The sequence below is a fragment of the Homo sapiens genome, chromosome 1 (assembly GCF_000001405.40).
Source record: "Homo sapiens chromosome 1, GRCh38.p14 Primary Assembly".
NCBI lineage: Eukaryota > Metazoa > Chordata > Mammalia > Primates > Hominidae > Homo > Homo sapiens.
The window spans coordinates 22,474,473-22,495,470 of NC_000001.11; the positions used below are offsets into that span (position 1 = coordinate 22,474,473).

Consider the following 20,998-nt stretch of genomic DNA (forward strand, 5'->3'; position numbering starts at 1 on the left):
AATCCTCCTTGCATCCTCAGAAATAATTGCTAGGAGTTCTCTTTTAACTTAGCTCATCCCTTAGATACCTTACATTTTAAGTCATCTTTTTGTGTGTAGCAAACCCCTCATTTCTTGTTTCTGAATGTGTGATCTTTGCTCTAATTATGTTGAGAGTGCCTGTTATTTCACCTGACTCTGGTTGTTTGTGAGCTGCTAAGTAGCCATGAGGTTAAAACAGACTAGGATCAGAGAGCATCTCAGCCTCTCAGGACCTTAGTTTCCTCCTTTAAAAAGGAAGGAGATTGGACTAAGGTCATTTGGTCATGCAACAAGAGTATGTGATAGATAAAGTAATGAACTTCTGTTCGGTGAAAGCAATGAATAGGGCTCTCCAAGGTCCCTTTCAGCTTTCTGGTTCCAGCAGAGCCCAGGCCTCAAAATAGAAGTCAAGATTTTATTCAGAAGATAGGGATTACCAGTACCAACAATAAAAAAAAAAAAAACAGGTAAGCTTGCATTAAGCTGGAACACCCAAAAAGATGTCTCAGACCACGGGATAGGTCTGCCCATAGGAGGGTGCAGAATTGTTAGGGGAGACAGAATCGAAGACCTTGATCAAGAATTAGAATGACTTTTCTCTCTTGGATATTGAAATACAGAAATCCAGGCAGAGGTGGGTCTAGCTTTTGCTTCATGAACCTCAAACTGTTTATTGGGAGGCAATATATATAGGAAGCCTGTTACTCCTTCCTAGTGCTAATGTGTTTCCCTTATTAGTCCATTCTGCTGGTCACTAGCAAAGCTCTGCTTTAATTATGCTGTTCCTAGTTCAGTGTGCCTTTCTCAGAAAGCAGGCATTTAAGTTCCTCTGGCTATTGTCTGGACTCATGCTCCATACTTCCTCTTACATGGGTGTTTTTGGAGATCTACCTCTGGCCATCCCAGTGTCCATAACAGCGATAGCAGTTACTTATCAGGTGCCTTTCCAAAGCCAGGTGCGGTGCCAGTTGCCTGCAAGCATATGTTATTTCCAGCATATGTGCCAAGTATGTCTCTTTAGGTCTGCGTTCATGTTTCTTCCTTTGTCTGCAATTCTTTTTCTTTTCACCTTGTCTGTTGAAATTAAACCTTGAAATTACCAGCCCTAGTCCTTCCCTTGCCACTCACTGGGATTAATCTGTTTTTTTCTTCTCTCCTTTTCTTCCTTTCCCTCTTCTTGACTCTTGTGGATTGAGTTCTTTTAAGAGTTCTCTTTTCAATCATTCCAGTGTTGGATTCAGGATTGGATTACCATCTCCCTGTGGACAAGGATCTTGTTTTACTTACCTTTCCTTTTGCTCCCACACAGCACCTAGCAAGGTACTGAGTAAATAAATGGTGGGCAGTTGACCCACAAATAGTTAATTATTTATGTATGTTACCACTGATTGGTATGAGGACGTGTGTATTGCTGGCTGAAGACTTAGGGGAAAATTAGTACAATAAATTGGAGAATATCAGGTCCAGTTCCCTGAGGCACAGAAGAGAGCCCCTTACCCTCTAGTAGTAGCGGCAAAGGCTTTTGTCTTGTTAGGGAACTTGCCAGCAATTGCGGATTACAGAACATCCACTTTATTGATTTAAGCAACGTAGATTGAGACTGTAAATATTTAGTATTATTTTCCTCCCTATTCATTAAAGGGATTCCATGTTTTGTACAAACTTAGTTCTCACTTGTACTTTTTCTGGTTTTTCTCCTGTGTATGACTGTTGTTTCCTTATAACTTAGAGGATCCTCAAAGTTTCTTTTGAGACAGTCTTACTCTGTCAGCCTGGAGTGCAATGGCGTGATCTCAGCTCACTGCAACCTCTGCCTCCCAGGTTCAAGTGATCCCCCACCTCAGCCTCCCGAGTAGCTGAGACTACAGTCACATGCCACTACACCTGGCTAGTTTTTTTTGTGTTCTTTAGAGATGGGGTTTTGCCGTGTTGCCCAAGCTGGTCTTAAACTCCTGGGTTCAAGTGATCCGCCCACCACAGCCTCCCAAAGTGCTGGGATTACAGGCGTGAGCCACCACGCCCAGCCCTCAAACTTTCAAATCCTTTTTGGAAGTAGACAGAATAAAAATTTAAATGAATAAATATTCTTTGTGCTCCTTTTGGAAAGCTGGCCTAGTTTCTACTTTGTGTTGAATTCCCATTTGTGTTTTGGGTCATTATGCGGCACTTGGTTCAGCCAATTAAGTTTCCTCTTTCTAAGTATCTTTATTCTATATCAGTATAGTCTTTTCTTGAGGCTTTAATATTGTTCCTTTGAGGAACATTCATCTTTCTGGTACTCTTCTGTTGCTTAAACGTTCTTCCCATGGGACCTTTGACAATTTTTTCGAGCCTAGCAATTCAGTTAAGTACTTAATAACATAATTTAGGTTCCCTCTATACCTGAGTCTACAGGACTTCGAGATTCCAACATGCAGTGTTCCACTATGCTTTCTTACCTCCGGAAAGTGCCCTTTCACCACATGACATCTAGTGCTATATTCTGTCTCCTCCATTTACTTCCTTGCAAAGAAAGTTAGGCAGAAACAGTAAAATATATATTAGAGACTTTTACATTTCAGTTGGGACATGAGCAAAATATAGTTTAGCCTGTATAGTGTATTTCCATAGCCCCCAAATCACTAGTGTATCCCTCATGATTATATATATTTATTTAATAACAGAATTGTGTTCCTGAAAGTGGTATGAAAATTAATTCTAGTTTAATTGTTTATTTACAGATAAATACTTAAGCTATCAAGTCAGATGGCTAGTTTCAAAACTGTTTAATGAGGATGATTTCATAGCCTTTCTCGGAGCCAATAATAAGAGCTAACACATACAGTGCTTAACAATATGCTAGGCACTGTTTTAAGTGTGAATACACCCACACACTAATAAGCAACATAGAGCTGGCTTTTAAGAAATACAGTTTTGGGAGGCCAAGGTGGGCAGATAATGAGGTCAAGAGATCGAGACCATCCTGGCCAACGTGGTGAAACCCCGTCTCTACTAAAGATACAAAAATTAGCTGGGCATGGTGGCACGCGCCTGTAGTCCCAGCTACTCAGGCAGCTGAGGCAGGAAGATAGCTTGAACCCGGGAAGCGGAGGTTGCAGTGAGCTGAGATCGCGCCACTGCACTCCAGCCTGGTCATCAGAGCGAGACTCTGTCTCAAAAAAAAAAAAAAAGAAAAGAAAAGAAAGAAAGCTAATTAAGATGGTAGAAATAAGTCCAAATATATTACTCATCATAATAAATAAATATTAAAGTCTCTTATTAAAAGGCTGGCCTCAAACTCCTGATCTCAAGTGATCCTCCCGCCTCGGCCTCTCAAAGTGCTGGGATTAACAGGCGTGAGCCAGCGTGCCCAGCCATCTTAATTTGTTTTTTGTTTACCGTACTTTTCTTGCCTTCCTTCTTCCCCTTTCCCACCTACTACTGGATTAATCACATTTTCTTTATTCTCTTTTATACCTCTTGTTTGTAAATATTCAGTTTCTATTCCCTTGTATCCTTGTACATAAACGTACATAGTTTACTTAATAGAGGCTAAAGGTGTTATTTTGTCGTCCTTGACTCTTAGAACACCCTAACTTTAGTTTCTCTCACTTTTTGTGTTGTTGTTGATTTTTAATTTCAGAGAGACAGTGGATTACAGTGTTTAACAGTACAGAACTCCGTGTCAGACTGCCCAGTTTTGAACCCCACACTGCCACATACTAGCCGTGTGGCCCTGAGTGAGTTATGTAACCTCTCTGTGCTATAATTTTCTTTTTTTTTTCTTTTTTTTGAGACGGAGTCTCGCTCTGTCGCTTAGGCTGGAGTGCAGTGGTGCCATCTTGGTTCACTGCAAGCTCCGCCTCCTGGGTTCACGCCTTTCTCCTGTCTCAGCCTCCTGAGTAGCTGGGACTACAGGCGCCTGCTACCACGTCCGGCTAATTTTTTATATTTTTAGTAGAGACGGGGTTTCACCGTGTTAGCCAGGATGGTCTTGATCTCCTGACCTCGTGATCTGCCCACCTCGGCCTCCCAAAGTGCTGGGATTAAGGCGTGAGCCACCGTGCCCGGCTCTGTGCTGTAATTTTCTTACCTATAAAATGGAGATGATGAGTACCCACTTCATAGGGTTGTTGAAAGGATTAAATGAGTTAATATACGCAAAGCATTTAGAACAGTGCCTGGCACATAGTAAGCACTCATTATGTGGTAGCTACTATGATTGTCATTATTCTACTTTGTTTTTAATCTCCCCTTCCCATACTCATTTTTAGATGTTGGTGCATTTTAGATATATTAACATATTAAGTAATTTTTAAATTGAGATATAATTAACATACATTACAATAATCTTAAGTGTTCTATTTGAAGAGTTTTGACAAATATCTACTCTTGTAACCATGACCCAAAATAAGATGTAGAACATTTTTCCATTCTCATGGAAAGTTTCTTGGTGTCTCTTTACATGTAATGTTTTTACTACTCACAGCACCTCTAGGACCACTGTCTGGTTTTTATCATGGTAGATTAGCTTTGCCTGTATTTCTACTTTCTATAAGTTGGATCATATAGTATGTACTCTTTTGTTTCTGGCTTCTTTGACATAACATGTTTTTAAAATTTTATCTGTGTTCTTGCATGTATAATAGTTCAGTCTTCATTATAAGAAATTGCCAATCTGTTCTTCAAGTAGGTGTACCATTTAATCACTTCCACCAACAGTGTATGAGAGTTCTGGTCACTCAACGTTCTCACCAACATTTGGTGTTATCAGTCTTTCTGATTTTAATTATTTTAGTGGAGATGATGTTTGATAATTCTTTTGTTTGCTGCTTGCTATTTTTTTCTTAGCATATTTATCCCTTCTTTCTGGTTCAGTTTCCTTCTTATAGTAATTCTTTCAGTGACAGTCTCTGAGTCTTTTATGTTTGTTTATAAAGTCAGCCTGACCTGATAGTTTATCATATAAATACTTGGTTGATTGGTGTTTTCCTTAATATTTGAAAACTGTTGCTCCATTTTCTTTTTACATCTATTATTATTAATGAGAAGTCTGTATCAGCCTAGTTGTCATTCTTTTGTAAATAATGTGTTTTCTCTTGGTTTGCTTAAATATCTTTTTCTGTGTTGATATTTTGAAGCTTTTATTCTTAAAACTCATTCTTTAATTCTAGAAAATTCCTAGATATGTCTTCAAATTGCTTCTCCCACATGTTCTCCAGTGTCTCCAGCTGGAACACCTATTAGATGCATGTTTGGCTCTCTCATTTATCTTCTATGTCCCTTAACCTCTTTTTCATATTTTCTTTTTAACTGCTACCTTATAAGCAGTTTTCTCAGACTTTTCTTCCTAATCACACATTTTTTCTTTAGCTTCATCTAATCTATTCATCCATTGATGGATTTCAGTGACTTAATTTTGTAGTCCTGTAAGTTCTTTGTTTTTTTGGGGGGGACAGAGTCTCACTCTGTCGCTGAGGCTGGAGTGCAGTAACACCGTGTCAGCTCACTGCAACCTCCGTCTCCTGGGTTCAAGCAATTCTCCTGCCTCAGCCTCCTGAGTAGCTGGGATTACAGGCACCCCCCCACCACGCCAGCTAGTTTTTATATTTTTAGTAGAGACGGTGTTTCGCCGTGTTGGCTGGCTGGTCTCGAACTCCTGACCTCGAGTGATCCACCTGCCTCGGCCTCCCAAAGTGCTGGGATTACAGGCGTGAGCCACTGCGCCCAGCCAGGAATTTCTTATATATTCTAGATATCAATTCCTTATTGCCTTTAAACTTTGCAAATATCTGCCATTTCTGTCATTTGTCCATCTGTCTCTATTATCCTTTGACAGAAACCTTTAATACCTATACAGTCAAATTTATTTTCTTTTTTCAGCTTTCGGGGCATTGTTTCAGAAGTCTTTGCCTTCTGTTTCAAAGGTCCCCTCTGACATTTTCTGCTATTAGCTTTTATAGATTTACTTTTCACATCCAGGTCTTCCTCATGTGGTTTGTAATTATGAGCTTCTTTTCTGTGTCGTTGTTGTTGTTGTTGTCGTTTTTTGTATTTTTAGTAGAGACGGGGTTTCATCGTGTTAGCCAGGATGGTCTCGATCTCCTGACCTCGTGATCTGCCCGCCTCGGCCTCCCAAAGTGCTGGGATTACAGGCGTGAGCCACCGCGCCCTGCCCTTTTCTGTGTTTTTCTTTTTCTCTATGTGAGTCCCTGTGTTTTTTCTGCTGCATGCTAGAGACCAGTTTTTATGTTAATTTCTTGACTTGAGATTCCTGTATGATACAGAGTATAAATTTGGATGCTATACCTCTGTATGGCATAGACATGCATTTTACCTTTTTTCCTGCTGATGGCCTAGATAATAAGCAACTTTTATTGCTGTTTCCCTGAGCCAGTGAGCAGATTTTTGAGACTGCATATCAAGGAAGGATCAGCATTTGAGGCTCTGGGCTTTATGCAAGGGTCTCAGTGCTAACTCCCCACCTTCTACCTGCCTGAAGCTACATTTGCAGTCTCCATGTGAGTATTAATGCTTCCTCCTCCCAGCTTAGGGCCTGTACAGGAGTTTGAAACCCCTGTAGGCCACCATGGTCTCAATTCCCACTTACTGTTCTAGCTTTGATTTTGATGTTTCTTTCATTTCAGGTACCTAGGGATTTCTTTTCTTTAATTTTTTTTCAAGCCTATGTATTTTAAAAGCATTTTTATGTTTTATCCAGCATTTCTGTGTATTTGTAGTGGGAGAAAAAGAGCCATTTACTTCAGCTCAGTGTGCCATTTTGCCAAAAGTCTGTTTTTTAATTATTATTGCATTAATCTCAGTAAATTTTCAATTTTAGACATTGCCAACTTAGATTCATTATGTAGCCATTGACCACCCTTGAATGTTTTAGGCCTTAACGGTTCCCATTTTCCTTTCATTGCTCAAGCTTATAATCACCTTTTTAGTATCTATATATTGGTAAGCCAGATAATTAGGTTCAGTTTTCTTTTTAACCTTGCCCAGTTGCTCATTCTGCTGAAGTTTTTCTTTTTCTCTTCTTATTTAGTTGTTCACAAAAACATTAAATAGCTCTGACCACATAATGCTTGAAATATCTCCCTCTGCATCTTGGGTGAATCTTCTCTTGTTTAATCTGATGTGGGTACCCTCCCCAGAAACTTAAAAGCAACCTTTTAAGTTTGAGTCTATCCCGAAAATATAATTCCAGTCACTTGTTTCTTACTAATAAGAATGTTTAAAAAGATCTAATGTATGTCCAGGTAAGTCTTTTGGTTTACTGTAATCCGTAAGACTTATGTCTTGTTTTACCAAAAAAAAAAAAAAAAAAAAAAAAAAAATCACATTACATTGGTGTAATTTGTTTCTTAGAAAAACCTCATCAGTGCCTGTTTATGGTCTTTTGTTATTTGCAAATTGAATTCTTGTTCAGATTTTTCTCAAATATTAATTTAAATATTTATTTAAATATTAAAACTAGAAAAAAATGTTTTTCTAGTTTTAAATCTTATGGAATTTTCCCCTCCTCTTTCCATAAAACACCAAGAGATAAAAATTCCAGTCGCCTACTAGAGCTACTTCTATTAGATAAAAGCCACTTACCTCCTAGGACTGTTCTTCATTTGTTTAAAAATATATGTGCATTTTTATAATATAGATTAAAACAGACTGTATTCAAAAAGTAGGGGTAGACATTCTTAAAGATTTTCTTTGAGCAAGCTGAAAACAATCATATGAATTCATGAATGCCCAACAATATTAGGTACATGGTATAGAAGGGGCTTGGGGTAGTTAGAACTGAAACATTTATATTTATTTCAGCAAATCTTTATTTTAATTAATAAACTATTTTTTTAGAGCAGTTTGAGGTACATGCAAAATTAAGCGGAAATTACAGAGGGTTTGCAGATCCCTCCCCACTCCCATTCTCCACACATGCACAACCTGTCCCACCATCCATGTCTCACACCATATTGGTACATTTCTTATAATTGATGAACCTACATTGACACATAATTCTTACCCGGAGTCCATAGTTTACATCAGGGTTCACTGTTGGTGTTGTGCATTCTGTGGGTTTTGACAAATGTATAATGACTTATATTTGCCATTGTAGATTCATGAAGAATAATTTCACTGCCCTAAAAATCCTCTGTGCTTTGCTTATTCATCCCTCCCTCTCCTCTAACCCCTGGCGATCACTGGTCTTTTTTACTATCTATATATTTACCTTTTCCAGAACGTCATATATTTGGAATTATAAAGTATGTAGCATTTTCAGATTGACTTCTTTCACTTAGAAATATGCATTTAAGGCCGGGTGCGGTGGCTCACGCCTGTAATCTGTAATCCCAGCACTTTGGGAGGCCGAGGCAGGTGGATCACGAGGTCAGGAGATCGAGACCATCCTGGCTAACACAGTGAAACCCGGTCTCTACTAAAAATACAAAAAAATTAGCCAGGCGTGGTGGCGGGCGCCTGTAGTCCTAGCTACTCGGGAGGCTGAGGCAGGAGAATGGTGTGAACCCGGGAGGCAGAGCTTGCAGTGAGCCGAGATCACGCCACTGCACTCCAGCCCGGGCGACAGAGCAGGACTCCGTCTCAAAAAAAAAAAAAAAGAAATATGCATTTAAGTTTCCTCCCTGTCTTTTCATGGCTTTATGTCTCATATCTTTTTAGCACTTTTTAGTCCATTGTCTGGATGTACCACAGTTTATTCATTATATCTACTTCTTGGTTGCTTCCAAATTTTGGCAATTATGAATAAAGCTGCTTTATAAGTATCATGTGTAGGCTTTTGTGTGGCCATAAGTCTTCAACCCCTTTGGTTAATTACCAAGGAATGTGATTACTAGATCATGTGGCAAGAGTATGTTTGGTTTTGTAAGAAACTGTTAATCTGTAGAATGTCTGTACTATTTTGCATTCCCACCGGCATTGAATGAAAGTTCCTGTTTCTCTACATCCTCGTCAGCATTTAGTATTCCCTGTGTTTTGGATTTTGGTCATTCTGATAGGTGTGTGATGGTATCTTGTTTTAATTTGCAATTCTCTAAAGACATACCATGTACAACATCTTTTCATTTGCTTATTTGTCATCTGCATATCTTCTTTGATGAGGTGTCTGTTCAGGTCTTCTGCTATTTTTTAATTGGGTTGTTTTCTTATTGTTGAGTTTTGAGAGTTCTTTGTGTATTTTGGATAATAGTCTTTTATCAGGTGTGTTTTTTGCAAATATTTTCTCCCAGTCTGTGGCTTGTCTTTTCATTCTTTTGACATTGTCTTTCATGGAGCAAAATTTATTTCTGTCATGGATTGTGCCTTTGGTGTTGTACCTAAAAAGACTGCCATAGCCAAAGTCAACTAAGTTTTCTCCTATGTTAACTTCTAGGAATTATAATTTTGTATTTTACATATAGGTCTCTGATGTATTTTAAGTTAATTTTTGTGAAGGGTGTAAGGTCTATGTCTAGATTCATTTTTTCGTATGTGAATGTCCAGTTGGTTCCAGCATCACTTGTTGAAAAGATACTCTTTGCTTCATTTTAGTGCCTTTGCTCCTTTGTCAAAGATGAATTGACTATATTTGTGTGGGTCTGTTTCTGGGCTTTCTGTTCTGTTCCACTGGTCTACTTGTCTATTCTTTCACCAATACCACATTGTCTTCATTATTGTAGCTTTAAAATAGTAAATGTTGAAGTCATTATCAGTCCTCCAACTTCAGTCTTCTCCTTCAATATTGAGTTAGCTATTTTGGTCATGGGGAAGATCTGAGTCTCTGAAAATATTGAATATTTCTATCTAACAACATGGGATATCTCTCCATTTTTAAAGTTCTTTGATATCTTTCATCAGAGTTTTGTTGTTTTCTTCATATAGATCTTGTACATATTTTGTTAGATTTATACCTAAGTATTTCTCTTTTTGGGGTGCTAGTGTAAATGGTAAAGTTTTTAATTTCAAATTCTACCTTATTGCTGGTATATAGGAAAACAATTGGCTTTTGTATATTAACCTTATGTCTTACAACTTTGTTATAATCTCTTATTAGTTCCAGGAGGTTTTTTGTCATTTCTCTTTAATTTTCTGTAAAGACAATCATGTAGTCTGCAAACAAAGACAGTTTTAACTTCCTTCCCAATCAGTATACCTTCTATTTCCTTTTCTTGTCTTGTTGCATTAGCTAGGACTTCCAGTACAGTGTTTAAGATCAGTGGTGAACTGGGATATCCCAGCCTTGTTTATAATCCCAGCAGGAAGACTTTGAGTTTCTCACCATTATGAGTGATGCCAGCTGTAGGTTTTTTGTAGATGTTCTTTATGAAGTTGAGGCAGTTCCCCTCTATTTCTAGTTTGTTGGAGTTTTTATCATGAATGGGCATTGGATTTCTGCCAGATGCTTTTTCTGCAGCTTTCTGTTGACATGTTCACATGATTTTTCTTCTTTAGCCTGTTGATGCGATGGATCACATTAATTGATTTTGAATGTTGAACCAGCCTTGCATACCTGTGAGAAGTCCCATTTGGCTATGATGTATAATTCTCTTTAGGCATTGTTAGAGTCAAGTTGCTAATATTTTGTTGAGGATTTTTGCATCTATCTTAACGAGAGATACTGGTCTGTGGTTTTCTTTTCTTGTAATGTCTCTGTGTGGTTTTGGTAGAGGGTTAATGTTGGCCTCAAAGAATGAGTTGGGAAATATTCCCTCTGCTTCTATCTTCTGGAAGAGTTTGTAGAGAATTGGTATAATTTCTTTCTTAAATATTGGGTGGAACTCATTAGTGAACACATCTGGGGCTGTTGCTTCCACTTTGGGGAGGTTATTGTTGATTCACCTACTTTAATAGATATAGGCCTATTCAGATAGTCTATTGCTGCGTGTGTGAGTTTTGACAGATTGCATCGTTCAAGGAATTGGATCATTTTATTTAGGTTATATTTGTGGACATTCATAAATTACCTTATATTTTTAATGTATATGGGGTATACAGTGATACTGATATTAATAAATTGTATTGTCTATTTTTTTTTCTTTGTTACCATGGCCATCTTTGATTTTCTGACATTTGAAAACTATATGCCTAGGCTCAATGTCTTGAGTTTCCTGGATCTGTGATGTGGTGTCTGTCATTAATTTGGGGAAATTCTCAGTCATTATTGCATCAAATATTGCTGCTTTTCTCTCTTCCCCTTCTGGTGTCCCCATTTTGCATTAGTTATTTCTTTTCTAGTCTTCCCACTGTTAGATATTCTGTTCTGTTTTCTTCTTCTTTTTTTACTTTGCTTTTTCGTTTTGGATTGTTACGTCTTCAAGCTAGGAGATTCTTTCCTCAGTCGTGTCCAGTCTACTAATGAGCTCATCAAAGGCAGTCTTCATTTCTGTTATGGTGTTTTTTATCTCTAGCATTTCTTTTTGATTCTTTCTTAGAATTTCCATTTCTCTGCTTACATTATCCATCTATTCTTACATGTTTTGTACTTTTTCCATTAAAGCCCCTGGCTATTTAATCATAGTCTTAAAAAAAAAAAATCCTGGTGTGCTAATTCGGACATTCTTGCTATATCTGAGTCTGGTTTTGAAGTTTGCTCTGTCTCTCCAAACTGTTTTTGGGTTTTGTCTGTTTGTTTGTCTTTTAGTATGCCTTGTAATTTTTTGTTGAAAGGTGGACATGATGTACTGCATAAAAGGAACTGCTATAGCTAGGCCTTTAGTGATGTGGTAGTAGGGTGCAGGGGAGGAGAAGCTTTCTGTAGTCCTGGGATTCAGTCTCAATCTTTTGGTGAGCTTGTGCCCCTGGGCTGTGAACTTCCCAAGTGCTCTCAGGCTTTTTTGCTCCTTAGATGGTACAGGATGGCTAGAGGGAGCTGGAGTTGGGTATTTGTTTTTTTCCAGGTAGGTTAGGCTCTGAGAAAACTGTAGCCAGTTAGGCTCTTGTAAAATAGTTTTCTTGAAGGCAGGCCTTGTTAAAAACAGAGTGCTCTGGCAGATTTCAAAATGGTTCCTTTTCCCTCTCCCGCTGCTGGAAGCAAGAGGGGATTTTTCTTCACTATTCGTTGTGAGGACTTGTTAGAGCTCTAGGAGGTAAAGCTCACAGAAGTGTTGGGGGACCCCTATGACTGAGTCCCCCCCAGAGTTTTTAACTCTCAGAGTTGTGCACACTGAGCCTCCAGTGATTCGATTGCAGTTCAGGTTTTCTTAACCTGGCACTTGTTCCTACAGAGGCGTTTGTTCATACATTTTTTTTGTTTTGTTTTGTTTTGTTTTGTTTTGTTTTTTGAGACGGAGTCTCCCTCTGTTGCCCAGGCTGGAGTACAGTGGCATGATCTGGGCTCACTGCAGCCTCTGCCTCCTAGGTTCAAGTTATTCTCCTGCCTCAGCCTCTGAATAGCTGGGGTTCCAGGTGCCCGCCACCATGCCTGACTAATTTGTGTAATTTTAGTAGAGACGAGGTTTTGCCATGTTGACCAGGCTGGTCTCGAACTCCTGACCTCAAGTGATCCGCCCGCCTCAGCCTCCCAAAGTGCTGGGATTACAAGCGTGAGCTGCTGCGCCTGGCTTGTGTTTTTTGTTCAATAAGTTGTGATTCTCTGTGTCTGCCTGTCTGTCTCTAATTTTAGGAACAGTGATTTGCCCTGTGACCTTTCTTTTCTGACGAATTAAAGAAGAGTTGTTGATTTTTCAGTTTGTTCAGTCTGTTTGCTTTTAGGACGTGGTGACTTCTAAGCTCCTGACATACCAGAATGGAAACTGGAACTCTGAAATATTTTTATTTATATTTTTATCTGTCAATTTCAGTGTCAGTAAATGTAGAAATGGTGGAGTGGAAAGAGAATCATCCATAATCCTCTAACAAAAGCAATTACTGGTTTTTTGACATATGTCTTTCCGCCCTTTTCTTAGCGTACTTTTTTCTTTTACAAGTGAGATTACATAATTTCCTCAAACATCCTCAAAGATAAGATCCTCAAACCCAAAACTGAACTAGATGTCTCTTCCCCTAAACTGTCTGTTCTTGTATTATCTGGATCATCTTATCATCCACCCATTCACCAAGCCAGGAACCTGGGAATTGTTTCTCTCTGTCCTTCACATCCATTCAGTCCCTAAGTCATGACAGCTATACTTTGCAATGTTTTTTTGGCTCTCTCCTATTACCAGTTCTCCTGCTTGAAGCCCTCATTGATTTTCTCCTGATCTCCTGCAATAATAGAGCCCGTCTCCAGCATTATCCCCCTCAAATTCTGTACACATGTTACTTAGGTGGTATATTTAAAATGCATATCTGACCACATGACTTTGCTGCTTAAAGCCTTTCAAATGCCTCAATGGCTGCTCATTGCTTTTAGGATAACCTCCAAGCTCGTAAGCATGGCCTATATATCCCTCTGTGGCCAACACCCCTGCCTGCCTCTCCAGATTCATCTCTTAACACTCCTATTCCCTGCTTTATGTTCCAGTAATAATCTCAGTTCCTAATCCTCCTGCCTGCTACCACGGGATGTTTTCTTATCTGCATGCCTCATGCAGGCGTCCCTGCCAGGATTGCCTTTTCCTCCCATTCTTTTTACCTCATCTGTGCGTCCGTATCTTTTAAGACACAGGTCAGCTGTTTTTCCCTCAAAGCTTTACTCTAACTCCTGGACTCTCCTATCCCCCAAACTGTGTTTGTGTGTACAAATCCATCATTATGTTGCCTTTTAGTTATTTATTCATTCTACCAAGTAATCAACAGTATTTGTGTTAAGCAGAATTTTAAGCACTGGGATACAGCAGGTGATAAAATTAAGTTCTTACCCTAATGGAGCTTACATTCTAGTGAAGGAAGATAGATAATAACAAATAAAAATATAGTATGTCAGTAGGCGATAAGTGCTATGCTGAAAAACAAAGCAGACGAAGGAGCGGGATGTTCTGAGGTTGGAGGGGAGGTTGCTTGTTGAAAAAACATGGTCAGGAAAGGCCTTACTGCTAACATGGCCTCTGAGCAAAGGGCTGGTAGAAATGAGCCAGCCAGCCAGGCACAGATATACTAAGCATGCTCAGCCCTGAGTCAGAGAACGCAGAGCATGCTTAGTATATTCCCAGGTCAGCAAGGAAGGCAGAGTTCTCAGAGCAGAATGGGTGAGGGGGAGAGTGAGTGGTAAAAGATGAGGTTAGGAGCCGATGACAGCCAGATCATGATTAAAGGCTTGCTAGGCCATTGTAAGAACTTTGACTTTTACTCTAAGACTGGAAGCCATTTAAGGCTTTTTGTGCAAAGCAGCAGCAAGATCTGGCTGTGTGTTAAGTAGATTGCTCCGCCTACTGGGTTGAAGATAGGATGAGGTAGGGGTAGCAGTAGGGGAGGATGGAGGCATGGAGGCTAATTAGGAGGTTGCTGCAGTAATCTAGGTAAGAGATGATGGCAGTTTGGACTGACTAGAGAGGAGCCAGTGAAGGAAATTAGCGGTTGGATTTTGGATATGTTTTGAAGGTAGAGCCAACAGGATTTATAAAGGATTGGATATAGCGTATGAGAAAAAGCAAAAGTCAAGGATGACTTGGTTTTAGTCTGAAGAACTAGAAGGACAGAATTGCTGTGAGGTGGGAAAGTGGCAGGAGAGTTTTGGATATGTTACGTTTCAGAAACCAGGTTCCAGTTGGAGATGTTGAATAGGTAGTTGGAGGTCTACATCAGGAGTTCAGAGGAACAGGCTGAGCCAGAGACATAAATCTGAAAGCTGTCAGCATTTAGATGATATTTCAAAGCTATGGAATCAGAAGAGAGGGAAGGTAAGAGGCGGGATGACTGGGTCCTCGAGCACTCCAAGCTTTAAAGGCTGCGCTGATGCAGAGGACTCAACCAAGGAGACTGGGAAGGCATGGCTAGTGAGTGAGAAGGAGAACCAAGTGAAAAATGTATTTTCAGAGGAAGAGAATGATGACCTCCGTCCCTTGTTAGGGCTAGACTGAATAAGCCAAGGACATTGTATTGTAAGTCTCCGTCTACATATTTATCTCCTCTAGGTGGCTGAGAGCTTTTTGGGAGCAGGAATGGTAGTGTAGTTAGAGCTTCGAAGTCAGTGAGATGGCTGTTTTTCCTTAGGGTGATTCTCTTGGTCCTTCAAAGCTCCAATCTCATCTGTAAAATGGGGAGGAAATAATATCTTTTCCACTGAATCGTTGTGAGAATCAAATGAGACCGTCCATACAAAGCATTATGCACAGTCTCTTTCATATATTTAAACACATAATGATAATGATCATTACTGATTTAGTATACCTGGCATACTGTCCCTTCCTATTAAGCAATATTTGTTGGATGAATGAGTGAAATGCCTTTCTGTTCATTTAGCGTTTCATTCAAGGCCTTTCCCTATGGTTTTTTGAAGTTTTAACCTGGTATTTTGTGGGTTTCTCTAGGGCCTGTCCTCCCAAAGCCAACTCTAAGGAGAGGAGAGGAAGAGCAGTTCTTGGGGCAGAGTTGACGCAATGGAGCTCCCCAACTACAGCCGGCAGCTGCTGCAGCAGCTGTACACTCTGTGCAAGGAGCAGCAGTTCTGTGATTGCACCATCTCCATTGGTACCATTTACTTCAGGGCTCACAAGCTTGTCCTGGCTGCTGCCAGCCTCCTGTTCAAAACCCTGCTGGATAACACAGATACCATCTCCATCGATGCATCTGTGGTGAGCCCCGAGGAGTTTGCGCTCTTGTTGGAAATGATGTACACGGGCAAACTACCTGTGGGCAAGCACAACTTCTCCAAAATCATCTCCTTAGCAGACAGTCTACAGATGTTTGATGTAGCTGTTAGCTGCAAAAATCTTCTGACCAGCCTTGTAAACTGCTCGGTTCAGGGTCAGGTGGTAAGGGATGTCTCTGCGCCATCCTCAGAGACATTCAGAAAGGAACCAGAGAAGCCTCAAGTAGAAATCCTTTCATCTGAAGGTGCTGGAGAGCCTCATTCTTCCCCAGAGCTTGCTGCCACTCCAGGGGGCCCTGTGAAAGCTGAGACTGAGGAAGCAGCCCATTCAGTTTCACAAGAGATGAGTGTGAATTCTCCCACAGCCCAGGAGAGCCAGAGGAATGCAGAAACCCCAGCGGAGACTCCTACTACAGCTGAAGCTTGTTCCCCCTCCCCTGCTGTGCAAACCTTTAGTGAGGCAAAGAAGACAAGCACAGAACCAGGTAACAGTCATTGTTTTATATTCCATCCTTCTGTTTTCAATGATCTTTATCAGTTTTAATGTTTGATTAATAAATTTATCAAAGACCACTGTTAGGTAGAAAACCAAAATTCAGTGCAGTACCGTACTGGGCCATTCTTTTAAAAGTGTCTGTGTTTTTGAACATTGAAAGTCCAAACATGAACTACAGAGCAGAAAAGCAGTATTGGAATAATGACGTACCATTTCGATAATTATCTGTTTCGTTTTGTTTTGTTTTGTTTTCTCTCGAGACGGAGTCTTGTTCTGTTGCCCAGGCTGAAGTGCAATGGCATGATCTCAGCTCACTGCAACCTCCGCCTCCTGGGTTCAAGCAATTCTCCTGCCTCAGCCTCCTGAGTAGCTGGGATTACAGGCATGTGCCACCACGCCCAGCTAATTTTTTGTATTTTTAGTGGAGATGGGATTTCACCATGTTGGCCAGGCTGGTCTCGAATTCCTGACCTCATGATCCACCCGCCTCAGCCTCCCAAAGTGCTGGGATTACAGGCGTGAGCCACCGTGCCCTGCTGATTATCTGCTATTTTAACCAGGCTGAGGACAGCACAAAGGAGGAAGCTGTGAGAGATACTGTTGTCTGTTATTCATAACTGATGTGCTAGACAGAGATCAGTTAAGTGCAGTATATGACCTGAAGGTGCTCAGACAGCTTAAACTTGTAAAAATTTATTTCAAGTAATGAATTTCTGATTTGTTTTATTTTGTTCTACATTTAGGATGTGAAAGGAAACACTACCAGCTGAATTTTCTTCTAGAAAATGAAGGTGTCTTCTCAGATGCACTCATGGTTACCCAGGATGTTTTAAAAAAACTAGAAATGTGTTCAGAAATTAAAGGTCCACAGAAGGAGGTAGGCACCTCTGACTTTTGTACTTGTTTGCTAGTTTAGTGTTCTCAGGATACCTTACTAACTTTTTATATGGGGCAGAAATAGCCCAGGGTTTCAATGTTTTGAAACTTTAATTTTTTTTTTTTTTTGGACATTTATTCCCTAAAGGGCAGTCTTGCAAAAGTACTTAGGCAGGATACTTTCAAAATGACATTACATCTTGATCACCAGGAGAATCCTAGCTTCTAACCAGTTTTGATCCAGAATACTTAACTGATCATACCATTTACTCCTGATTAATCACAGATAAGATTAAGAAGGTAGCCATGTATAACCTCAAACCTGAGACTTAAACCATTAAAATTAAAACAAAACAACAGATACTCAAAACATGAACAAAAAGGACTTTATATAAACTTATAAATTATTGGTAAAATGCATCTAATATTTAGGAATAACAGTGGCCATTTTCAGACATAAAAACAGTAATAGTAAACATTCAACGAACACTTCCTGTATTAAGCTTGGCATATGTGTTACCGCATTTAATTTTCACAAAAATCATCAGTGTGAGTATTATTGTTAAGTCCTGTTTTATGCATGAGAAAACTGTCTCAAAGAGGTGGTGTAATTTGGCGAAGGTCACAGAGCTCATATGACCCTGAGCCAGAATTGAAACCTCAGCATTCTAACTTTAGAGCTGCTCCCTTACACACTGAGTTTATACTGCCTCCCAACAGGGTAAAAGTGATGCATATATATATAAGTGCTTAGGAATCGCCTGACAGGAAACTGCCAAATGGCTATCATGCTTTCTTAGCTGACCTCTTTTTTTAAGTAACTCAGTTGAGACGCATTTCCACCTGTGTGATCTCTCAATACTTGATTCTTCACACCTGACCCTGCAGGATTCGACTCCACAACCAATTTAGAATTCCATTTATTTCCCTTTTCTCCCAGCCCTGCTTCCCCTTTCTGAGAGGCTGCTGGCAGAGTGAGAGGGCGCTGCCCCGGCAGGCTTGCTCCTCTGATTGGTAGGGGGTAGTGTGGGCCGATCCTCCCATGTTGCTATAGGCAATTTTGTATTAGTCCAAGTAATACATGCCTTCTAATAATTAAATGTTTTCCTGATTCATAGCAACTTTTTTAAAAAACAAATTCAAGGTCTAGTATTTATTTTAGCTGTGTTAACTGACAGTCGACTATACATTGTTTTCTTGGGAGACAAGCTATTTACAAGGCTAGGCTAACCCTGATGACTCTCTTTGGGAGGTTTCAAGTCATAAATCCTTGGTACTCTTTGTACTGATTATGCTGAAGGACATTATGGTTTTATATTTTTGCACTTGCGTGTTCTCTTAACTGTTCAATCCATCATTTTTGTCATTAGTTTGTTACCTTGATAGCTTCTAAACACACCTCTTCATTTTCTCTTAAAGCTTCCTCTCCACTTAACTTTGGCTACAGAGGAGTAACGTTATTCCTTAGATCAGCAATACTCAAGTTATTAGTGTCACCTTTATACTTAGTTGAACTGTGTCTTATGCATTTTTTTTAACATTGGTACCTAAAAGTATGTGGCATGTAACAGGTGATGAAGAAATGTCTGTTATACATGCATTCGTTCAACATTTCTTTTTTTCCATTTCTTGTTCTAATCTTTTGATGGCAATATCATTAATATACTTCAAAAGAACACTGATTTGCTGTTGGTGATCATTATAGGCTTATGTTATTTCTTCCTCAGTTTTAGAGGTCAGAGTAGGAGCTCTGCAAATCACTTGGTGGCTGTTTTTAAAGCCAATTCTGTTACAGTCCATAACCTTTGAACTTCAGAAAGAAAAAGGGAACAGATACTTTAAGAATATAAGATTAAATAGAGAGTTAGGGAGATGCTGCTTTGTACTTCGGCCTCTACTTCTCTCTCTCTCTGTCTCTCTCTCATACTTTGTTTCAGACAGCCTTGTTGAGCTATGACTGACATGCAGTAACCTGTAGCTAGGTATGGTGTACAGTGTGATTAGTTTTGGTATATGCCCTGAAACCATCACCACAGTTAAGATGGTAAACATCTCCATCACCCCCAAAAGTTTCTTCTTGTCCCTGTGTACTACCCCTCTCTCCTGCCCCTTCCACTTACCCATGCCCTGGGTAACCACTGGTCTGCTTTCGGTCACTGTACGTAAGTTTGTATTTTCTAGAGTATTGTATAAATGGAGTCATATGGTGTGTATTTTTTGTCTGGCTTTCATTGAGCGTAAGTATCTTGAGATTCACCCATGTTTTTTTTTTTTTTTCCTTTTTTCTTTTTCTGTGAATTCTACAGAGGTACGCCCCTAGTGTTGTGTGTTCATTCCTTCTTATTGCTGAGTTGTATGCATTGTGTGGATATACAATTCATTTATCCACCTCTACTATTTACTAGCATTGTGACTTTAGGCAGCTTCATCTTTATAAGCCTCAGTGTCCTCGTTTGTAAAAAGGGGATACTATCACCTACATCATGGGGTCATTGTGAATTAAGATTATTTATATAAAACTCATAGTAAAATGCCAGGCACTCAGTAGGAGGTCAGTAGGTAACAACTGCTATTGTTTGTTTTTACATTAACTCAGTATTTTTAGACCTAACAGACCTTGAAACCCCCTTTTCACTGAATGTCTTATAATATCCTGGTGCCATGGCCATTTACTCTGACACGAGATGGTTTGCTGTTACTTTAAGCTTAATTTGTAAGGCATGCTTTCAGATAGGTACCACCATCCACTTGGAAGTAGCTTCCTAAACTGCAAGGGCAGTGTCTAGTCTGAAGCAATCACTTTCTAGAACAGTGTCTAGAGGAAGTAGCTTCCTGTACTGCAGGGGTAGTGTCTAGTACGTAGCAATCAGTCTCTAGCAATGTATAGAAAAATCATCTGAGGTGCTTGTTAAAATGTATACCTCCAGAACTCATTTCCATGGTGTCTGATTCTTAGGCTGTGTTAGAACTTGAGAATCTACATATTTAACAGGCTCCCCCATGGGTTGCTGTTTTGGAACCTGTAGACTACATTTTGAGAAGCATAGTTGGAGAAGTGAATGGCTTACAAAACTCTTAGTGTGTGATGGCAGATGTCATAATGTCTGTGCTGGCACCTTTCAGTGGCATGAGAGGCCACCGAATACCCATTTTCCTCATTTGCTTACCCTTTGATTTAGCAGATGTTTACTGAGCAACTGATATGTGCCAGACTGAGCCGCTTGCTAGGCAGAGAAACTTCAATAAGACTTGATCCCTGTCCTTAAAGAGTATCTTGACAGCAGAGAAATCCTGCCACGTGTGTGATTATTTTGGGGGAAGTATGCAGAGGAGTCGCCAAATTACAGATTTCACCATAAGGCTTCAGCAATGAGCGCATTTAAGAGCTGTTCACTTAGAACAACGTTGTTTCACATTTCCGTACAATTTTACAGTTTGGGGTATTTTGTTTTTCTGTTTATACATTTTTAGCTCCCCAAGAGCTTTGAGTGGTATCCTGTGATTGGTTGTTGTTTAGTTAATCTTAACTTGAGAACAGCTTAACGTTAAAAATAGTCTACTCCTGGATGTGTCATTCCGTTTCTGAAACACAGCTGTGAGGTGTGCACCTGGGCAGGATTGAGTTTAGGGAGGACACCATGAACTAGTGTCCTGATTATTTTATTTCCTGAGATCAGTGATGAAAGGTGGCAAAGCCATTCCCTGAACAGCGATTGCAGCAACATGAGAAGAAGCTGGGCTACTTGAATTGTGAGAAATCAAAGCCAAAACTTATTAAAGAGAAATCTCTTGGGTGCTGGGATGGGAACATGTCTTCTGCCTGTCTTTATATCAGTGTAATATCCCTTACGCATTAGAAAAGCAAGTAGTGACCTAAGAGGTCACTTCTGACCTCTGGCTAAGCTGAGTAAAACTGTTATTTAGAGCCAGACTCATAC

The 20,998-nt window shown here is 39.8% G+C and overlaps 1 protein-coding gene across 5 annotated transcripts in view; it reads left to right on the forward strand.

The window, feature by feature from the left end:
* The window catches only part of ZBTB40 (zinc finger and BTB domain containing 40), a 102,246-nt gene that overhangs the window by 45,564 nt on the left and 35,684 nt on the right, over positions 1-20,998 (forward strand). For all 5 annotated transcript variants that reach the window (XR_946804.2, XM_011542499.3, NM_001083621.2 and 2 more), the window contains 2 exons: positions 15,408-16,173; positions 16,928-17,061. Coding sequence is in view for 4 of the 5 variants with exons in the window: in XM_011542499.3 (XP_011540801.1) it covers positions 15,477-16,173; positions 16,928-17,061 (831 nt within the window). In the remaining variant the exon portion in view is untranslated. The remainder of the gene's footprint in view (positions 1-15,407; positions 16,174-16,927; positions 17,062-20,998) is intronic.